The sequence below is a fragment of the Homo sapiens genome, chromosome 11, assembly GCF_000001405.40.
Source record: "Homo sapiens chromosome 11, GRCh38.p14 Primary Assembly".
Lineage (NCBI taxonomy): Eukaryota > Metazoa > Chordata > Mammalia > Primates > Hominidae > Homo > Homo sapiens.
This window is the reverse complement of record NC_000011.10, coordinates 104,227,349-104,237,315: the sequence shown is the minus strand read 5'-3', so window position 1 is coordinate 104,237,315 and position 9,967 is coordinate 104,227,349.

The window sequence follows — 9,967 nt, the reverse complement described above, 5'->3', positions numbered from 1 at the left end:
GCACATTATCTCTGGAGGAATCCACTTTGATTGTAAACCTGAAACAAACCAAAGTTAATATTAAAAGGAAAATGATAAACTCATAGTCAAAGTTAAGTAAACATACAAGAAAGAAGGATGCCATGCTCAACAACTGGAAGAAAGGAGAGACAGCAGAAACAGATTTGAAAGGTTTCAATACTAAAATGCAACAGGATCATATTAAAACAAAAAAGATTACTATGTAAAATATGCAAAAGATAAGCCCCAAAGTATGCACAGAAAATAAAAAATTATATCTTAAAAACTAATATGTATATATGTGTATGTGTGTGTATTCATTTCTGATCAAGATGGAGAAACAGGACTTAGATTTACAACACTGCATGAAATAACTAAAAAATGAAATAAAATATGTGGAATAATTCCACTCAAGACATTGGACATCATGTGAAGAATAATCTCTCTGGGTCAGGAAGCAAATGAGGTGAACCTTATGATAACTAGATTGTCCCCTTTAAGTGTTCAGATGAGTACTGTATATGTAATGAAAGTACCTGAGGTCTGAGACAGAACCATCCAAAAAATATAAATGACATATGCCTGAAAAACACAGAGCTGGATATAATGCTTTCTTCCAACAGAGTAGGAAATCTCATAATTCAGAGAACAGTTGCAATAGTAAAAAATGTCTCACCTCAGTAATAATACTAATAATAAGAATTAGCTCACGCCTGTAATCCCAGCACTTTGGGAGGCCAAGGCGGACGGATCACGAGGTCAGGAGATCGAGACCATCCCAGCTAAAACGGTGAAACCCCGTCTCTACTAAAAATACAAAAAATTAGCCGGGCATAGTGGCAGGCGCCTGTAGTCCCAGCTACTTGGGAGGCTGAGGCAGGAGAATGGCGTGAACCCGGGAGGCGGAGCTTGCAGTGAGCCGAGATCCCGCCACTGCACTCCAGCCTGGGCGACAGAGCGAGACTCCGTCTCAAAAAAAAAAAAAAAAAAAAAAAAAAAGAATTAGCCCTAGCCTAAGCACAGGTCTGGTCTTACCTAAGAAAGTTCAAAAGACAAAAAAACGAACAAAAAAACAAACAAACAAAAAACCTCTTTACAACCAATTTGACCATGTCCAGAAATAATATCTCGATAATATTTACAGGAGTGTAATAATTCTAGCACATAGCGAGGTAAAATTCATAACATCTAGCATTCAATAAAAATTACCAAGAAGACATATAAGTAAGAAAATACAGCCCACGATGAGGAGAAAAATAACAAGATTTAATTAGTAGACAAAGAGACTAAAACGATGACTACAACTGTATGTTTAATATTCAAAAAAGTAGAAGGAATATTACACATGTTAATCAAGACATGAAGGAATAAAAAGCCCCAAAGTAAACTTCTAGAGCTAAAGATAGAGTATCGGAAATGAAAAAATGCACTGGATGATATTAAAGGCAGGTTATAGATTGTGAAAGAAAAGATTAACGTATTTGAAAAGCTAACAATAGAAAGCACTCAAAAGAAAAACAGGGACTGAGAAAGACACATGAAAAAAAAAACAGAAAAGACTTTCATGAACTTTGGGACAACTTCAACTTACAGTTAGAATCCCTCAAGGCTGGGCAGTGTGTAGAAGTGGAAAAGATCAAAACATTAAATAAATAATAATCAAATATTTTCTAAATTTGAGGAAAATTATAAACGCATGGATCCATAAATCTTGACAAACCCTAGCCAAGAAATATAAAGAAAACAACACCAAGGCATATGCTAATCACATTGCTTAAAACCAGTGTTGAAGAGAACGTCTTAAAAGCAGCCAGGGGTAGAAGACGTTACATAGACAGGTGCAAAGATAAGGTTGAAAAGCAAACTTCTCATTCAAAGTAATGCAGCCTTGAAAACACTGAAACAATATTTTAAAGTATTAAAAAATTGTCAACCTAAAATTGTTTACAGTTTGAAATATCTTTCAAAATAAAAGCAAAATAAATGTTTAGACATATGAAAGTTGGAAATATTTATCACCAGCAGAAATTGATATCTGTTACAAAACCTCCTCAGGCAGAAAAAAAAATACTAAATAGAAATTTGAATTTTCACACCAGAAATGCTAACTGCATATGTAAATATGAATATTTTTTACTTAAATCTCTTGAAATATAATTTATTTTAAATCAAAATGATGACAATATATTGTGGAATTTGTAATACAATAAATATATACAATAAATGCTAAAGCAACCACTGAAAACACAGCAAAGAGTTGAACTCTAGTGATCCAAGAGAGGAAACAAGAAGAGGAAATAACATAAAGAGTAAATGGGACAAATGAAAAACAAATAATAAGATGATTTAAATACAATTATATAAATGATCATATTAATTGTAAATGGTATAAGCATCCTAATTAAAAGACAGAGATAGATTAAATTTAAAAAGCAATGAATTAATCTATGTTGGCTACAAGAAATCTATTTTAAATATAAAGGCACAAACATGTTAAAAAGCCTAAGGAAGGAAAAATACATCCCACGCTGATGTTAATAAACATAAAGAGCTGGTGGCTATATTAAGATCAAACAAAATAGATCTCACTGCAAACAATACTACTATGGATAAAGATTTTTACTTCAGAGTGATGAATGGGTCAATGAATTAAGAGGACATAACAATCCTAAATATTTATGCACCTAAAAACACAGCTTCAAAATATCTGAAGCATAAACTGATAGAAGTTTATATAATTGTGGATATGAACATATACACAATCATAAATAAAAATTTCAACTCATCTTTCTAAATAAATAATAAAACAAGTGGAGATAAAAATATGAGTGGAGATATAGAAGGTTTGAGCAACACTGTCAGTTAACTGGACCTCACTGATATTTATATAGCACTTCATCTAACAACAGCAGAATATACCTAAATTTATATAAATAAATATATAAATTGAACGTATTGTGGGTCAAAGCACAATTCTCAAGAAATCTGTAAAAAATAGAATCATACAGAATGTTTTATCTGACCATAATCAAGTTATATTAAAAATTAACAGAAGGTTCTCTTGAAAATTTCCAAATATTTTGATGCCAAATAACACACTACTAAATAAAGAAGAAATCAGAAGATAAGTTAGAAAGTATTTTGTACTTAATGAGCATAGCAATACAACATCTGAAATTTGTGGTATGTAGCTAAAGCAGTCTTGGAGGAAAAAAAATCTATAGCAATTAATACCTACGTTATAAAAGAAGAAAATTCTCAAATGAATGGCCTCAGCTTTTCACTTATGAAACTAAAAAATAAGAGAATAATAAACCTTGAGTAAGTCAAACAAAGAAAATAATGCAGCTCAAAGTAAAAATCTATAAAATAGGAAACAGAAAATTAACAGAAAAATCAATGAAGTTAAAAATGTTAACTTTCAGAAGATCAATAAAATTGATAAAGCTCTAGTCAAAAAAGAAGATACAAATTACTGAGGTCAAGAATGGAGTGAAAACTGATGGTAGTGCAAGGAAATATAGACATATACACAGTTATAATTGGATATTTCAATCCCACTTTCCCATAATTGATAGAACAGAGGAACAAAATCAGAAAGGATATAAGTGACATTATTACACTTTCCACAGGCTTTCAAAGAACAATTAGGGAATGTTATGAACAATGTGTTCCAATAAACTTGACAACTTGTATCAAATGCACACATTTCTTGGACAAAACTTATTAAAGAAGAAAAGGGTAACCTGAATAGCCTTATTAAAGAAATTGAATTTGTAGTTAATGATGTTCCTACAAAAACAAAACAAAAGAAAACAAATAAACAAAGCCCTTCAGGCCCAGAGATCTTCACTGCCAATTATATCAAGAATTTGAGTAAAAAATAATACCAACTTTTACAAACTTTCAGAAAAACAAAACAAAGGAATACTTTTCACCTAATTTTACAAGGCCAGTGTTACTCTGATACCAAAACCAGGCAAAAGCATTACAAGAAACTACAGACCAATATTTCCCATGAACACACATAAAAATGTTTTAAAATGTGAGCAAGTAGAATGTAACAGCATATTCAAAGACAATATGTCATGTTCTAGTAGAATTTATCCCAGAAATTCAAGATTGTTTTAACATTCGAAATGAATCAATGTAATTAATTATTAATGGACTGAAAAAAGAAAAACATACAATTATATTTATAGATTCAGAAGAATAATTGGAAAAACATCCAACATCAATCCTAATAAAAACTCTCAGAAAACTACAGATAGCTGGAAGCTGGAAACTTCCTCAATCGGATAAAGGGAATCTATAGAAATCAACAGCTAATATAATACTTAGTGGTAAAAGACCAGGTGCTTCCCTCCAAAAGTCAGGAACAAGGCAGCAATGTCCACTCTCTCTATTTCTATTCAACATTGTACTGGAGGTTCTTTTCAGTGCAAAAACATAACAAAGAGAAATAAAATGAATGGAGACTGGAAAAGAAGAAACAACATTTGCTATTCATAGATATGATTGTCTACTGGGAAAAACCTATGGAATCAACTGAAATGCTAATTGAACTAACAAATGAGTTGAGCAAGTTTGCATGATACAAAATCAATGTATAAAAATCAACTGTATTTCTATATTCTAGCAATGAACAATCCAAAATTAATATTAAAATATCTTTCACAATAGCATCAACCTTATGGAGCTAAATCTGATACAATGTGTATATGACCTGTACACTGAAAAACTACAATCCACAAATAATAATGAGAAAATTTTAACATATACTAGCAAATAAAAGTTGACAACCAAAATATCAATAAGGGTATAGATTTAAGTCACCCAATTAGTAAATGAGACTCCTCATGGTCATACATAGAACACTGCATTCAACAACTGCAGAACAGATTTTTTTTCAAACACATCTAGAACATTCGTAAAATGTATTAGTCCACATACTAGTCAATACGGCAAGTCTCAATACTTTTTTTATTATATTTGTGCTATTTGTAAATTTATGTTGTTATACAGGTATCACTATCATCCCACTGTGTTTTGTAATTAATACAATATTTTTTCCTAAAACAATATTTTTAAAGGAAAAAGCTTGATATTTTAGTATGTTTAGCTGCACACTTGCCACTCCCTGCTTTTTTAATAAGGGGTCTGACATCTTTATTATGCACCGGTCCCGCAAGATATATGGCCAGTCCTGCTCTCAGGGCTGTTTCTCAGCTGGCCTTAGGATTCACAATAGCCAAGACTTGGAACCAACCCAAATGTCCAGCAATGATAGACTGGATTAAGAAAATGTGGCACATATACACCATGGAATACCATAAAAAATGATGAGTTCATATCCTTTGTAGGAACATGGATGAAGCTGGAAACCATCATTCTCAGCAAACTATCGCAAGGACAAAAAACCAAACACCGCATGTTCTCATAGGTGGGAATTGAATAATGAGAACACTTGGACACAGGAAGGGGAACATCGCAAGTCTCAATACATTTAAAGGAATTGAAACTATTCAGAGGACCTACTCTGACCACAATATAATTAAGCTAGAAATTGAATAACAAGATTCTAACTAGAGAAACACCCAAATTATCTGTAGTCAAGGACATGCATTGGAAAATACATTGAAATAACAAAAACAAAAACATTACCTAACAATCATTATTATTTATTCTTCATCGATCTGTCTGTCCTGTGTTTCAACTTCTACTAGGCGGTGTTTTAGAACTTGCTTTTCCAAGAAAATCAAGAAAACAAGATGTGTGGAGCATAGTTACTTGAAGGTGCAATCTGCAGAAGAATAGTTCTTCCTGCTGCATACCTGCCCTTGTTCTGGTTCCTGTTCTATTTCTTACCCTGGATCTCTAGGCTCCTATGTAGTCTATGAACATCTTCATGTACTGCTGATAAATTTCTTTTTAAAATTAGCTACTGTTTGTTTTCGAGGCTTCACACCAAAGATGTCTAACTAACACAATGTATATGTCTTATTTGTACATCTAAGGATAGCAATTATTCTTGACAAGCCTTCCTCTCTTTGTTCTAATAACTCTGTCTCTGGTTACTAGTTTTTCTATTGTTGAATGAATTGCATCTATTTCATGATTTTTCCTTAAGTAATTAATTACTGAATCTTAGGATGCTCTATTCTTTAAAGGAGGAGTTATCTGTTTACTACAGATTGCCTCCAGTTAGTGTGTAGAAGGGTTAGAATTTGAAACCACACTGATGCCACTAGATCATCTTCCAGCCCTTAGGATTCCTCATTCTTCTCAGGGACAATGCTCACTTTTTCTCTGTGATGGTAAATCTCTCGACAGCCCATCATTTGACTCAAGCATAGTTGAGTGGTGGGGGATGGATGATTAGTTGGTAATATGGATAAATATATTAAAAGGCCAAATATTACTACCTTCTCTGAAATGAATTTTTCAAACTTACCCCTAGACCCTTCCTCTCCTTTGTATTCTTTGTCTCTGAACTTGGCTCACCCTCAAAACCTTCTCTGGCCTTTTTCAAGAATTCACTATCAAAATGTATGCTCTGTCAATCTCACACCATCTGCTTAGCCTTTCAGAAATTTCTCAAATATTATTGATGATCTGATTTACTTGTGCTTCCACATTAATATAGATTAATTATATTTTAAAGTACCTTCCCTGTCATTTCTAAGATAGCAAGGCAGTAGGTGCAAGTGTGCTCAGTCCACATACATGAATGATAGGTTGAAGCAATATCTAGGCCAAGAGTCGTAAGAGTCAATGAAATACTGGTCTGGAGAAATGCCTGAGATAGATGTAGAAATTTTGGTATTATAAACATGTAAATGGAAGTTAAACAATGGGAATGCATTTGAGAGATTATATAGAGTAGACAATGCTAGGTATTGAACTTAAACATTAATTTTTAATGTATGGCTAAAGGGAGGGAAAGAGTTGAAAATGTAAAAGAAACACACTAAGGAAGAGCACTTCTAGGAAACAGAGAAATTTTAAAACTTTCCTGTGCCTGTTAACTTCCAGATGATTTAATCCCACTTCAATATGTATCTATTAAAAGAGAAGTTTATTTATCTCCAATATTTATCATGTATCTGTAAACTAATTTTGGATTTTTTATTTTCAGGTAATAGGCCTATTTGCGTGGACCAGAACAACGTACTGTTTTATTGATTAGATGGTCAATAATGATGGTGGTAATCAATGGGCATGATGCTGGCAAATTCTTAGCATCTATTTTGACTAGTATTTCTAATTCGTTGCTCTCTACCTGCAGAATGCACTCAGCTGGAATATGAATTTTCAGAAGTGAGTAGTAAATCAGACTTGCATTTTATATGTAACATCGAAAGTATTTAAAATTTTAGCCCAGATTTTAAAAAGTTGTTCACGTTAGTTTTTACAAATGACCATGCTGGATTTTGCAGAACCACCATATATTACCAACATCTCTTCTGCTAACTTTGTTGGTAAAGTTGCATTTTGAGAAGCTCAGTACTGAACAACATATAAAAGCTCCCCATTATACACAGAGCACATCATGTGCATGAGTATTCAAAAGTGATTTGATTCAAAATATGAGAAGAGTGAAGCATAACAAATACTGGCATTGATTTGTTTATATTGGAGGCTACCTTGAGAGCTCACTGTGCCTAACCGCTACATTTTGTTGTTGATGCTCAGCTCACTAAGAAATCAGCAGCTCTCCTATACTTCATATTAGATTTCCTATGCTATATAGTTGTGACTTTAAACTTCTTCTGCCTTACATGAAAGACATTTATTAGTTGCCTATTGTATACTCAGCACTATGCAGATTCCTTGTGATACAGAAGTCAAACCTTTGTACTGACATTTGTTCTAAATCCACTTCTCTTTCCTCTCTGTTTCCAAGGCATACAAATCTAATTTTAAAAGTAATTCAGGCAAAAAAATTTTAAACGTAACTAGGGTAAAAATATTTCCATGACAACTTCCTTATCAGGATTTATGTGTGAATTACTCAGACAATAGTATCTATATCAAAATAAGTTTTAAATATAGAAAATTCCCAATATGCAAATGGACTTTTCTCAGGTTTATATACATGAATGTTATATTGACCTTGGAAGACCTTTCTCCATAGAAACAATGGTGCAAATAATAGTAACCCCTTAAGATTGTCTAACATGCTTCAGTTTCCAAAGTAGCTTCACAACTGTTTATTCACCCATCTTGGAAAGAACCCTTTAGGAGTTTATGTAGGTACTGTGGTTTCCTTATATCTGTGATCAAATCCAGGCTCAAAGATAATGTAACTTGTCCAGGGTAATGTGTGCAGGACAGTTCTCCAGGTAGCCTTGGACCAACCCAATTCTCCCATTCTTGCTTGTCGTTCTCCAGAATGACTGTAGAAAGTACTAAGAATAGCCGGGCACGGTGGCTCACCCCTGTAATCCCAGCACTTTGGGAAGCCGAGGCGGGCGGATCATGAGGTCAGGAGATCAAGACCATCCTGGCTAACACGCTGAAAACCCGTCTCTACTAAAAATACAAAAAATTAGCCGGGCGTGGTGGCGGGCGCCTGTAGTCCCAGCTACTCAGGAGGCTGAGGCAGGAGAATGGCGTGAACCTGGGAGGCGGAGCTTGCAGTGAGCCAAGATCGCACCACTGCACTCCAGCCTGGGCGACAGAGCGAGACTCCGTCTGAGAAAAAAAACAAAAGAAAGAAAGAAAGTACTAAGAACACAACATCCAAAGATAGGAAGAGACTGGCCAGCAAAGCCCTGGCTTCTGTTTGTTTTTCCCCTAGAAATAGGATGTTCGTCAGTGCTTTAGCCCAGCATGTCTTCTTCCCCTATAGTATAAAACCCAATGTAGGCATCTTTCCAGGGACCCTCAGCTGTGGTGCAAATGAGAAACACACAGTTGGGACTTCATCCATGCTGGTAAGCTTTTCTGAGGTTCGAGGGACCAGCTAGCAATGAATAGTAGGCTTCTATTGTTCCTTATTGGCAATCTGTAATTCATAAACCTGCTTCATGTAAATTCTTGCATTGGGTGTTCTATCTCACCATATTTGGATAAGTTGGTAGCCGGTGCAAAGGAGTGGCCCCATTTTGAAGCAGTAATAGGCAGCATTGAAGTTAGGCCTCGCGATTTTTGGCTGCTACAGCAATACTAATTCCACTACAATATGTTATATTATAAATATGATTAAGTTACTTAATATCTCCAAGGCTCTTTTAGCAAGTATTGAATATTTTCCTTGAAAGATGTAAGAAATTATTCTAATTCTGGTAACTAAATTAAACAAAACAAAACAGATCAAATAAGATGTTTGATATCTATTTCTAAAGAGAATGCTTAGAGAAGAGTATGCTGGATAGGATAAAGATGAGGAAAGTAATGATGATTTGCAGATTCTGTAGGGGTCTTCAGAGAATTTTCAAGGAATTTGTGAAATGGTAATATGGGAGTGTGGCTATATTTCCTTTATATGAATGTGACTTCTAAATATGAAGTTATTCTTTTATTTTCCTTATTATCAACATATATAAATTATAATGGTGACATATTTTATAAATCTAGAAGAGAGATGGAAAAAATAAGGGAACAAAATGGAGAGAGAATTTTTAAGGCTATTAGCTATTATGAAAGACTTGAAAGAGAAAGGCAGAAAAGAAATATGTTTTAAAAGGAGCTTGATGGTGTGAATTGAACTGAAATGTGAGGAAAGAAAATAATGATGAAAAGAGGGGATCATGAGGTGTGCAAGGTAACTGAGAAGATGAATAAAGAAGATATGGACCCCATTCTCTTCTTTTCTGGAAAGGCCTTGAAAAAACTCAGAAGACATATGTAGTAGCATGCAGGCCCTATGATGGCCCCAGTGATCTCCACCTTCTGCTTCTTGCCCTTATGTGATCTCCTTTCATTGAGTGTGGACTGGTTTTAGTGAGTTGTATTTAGTGAA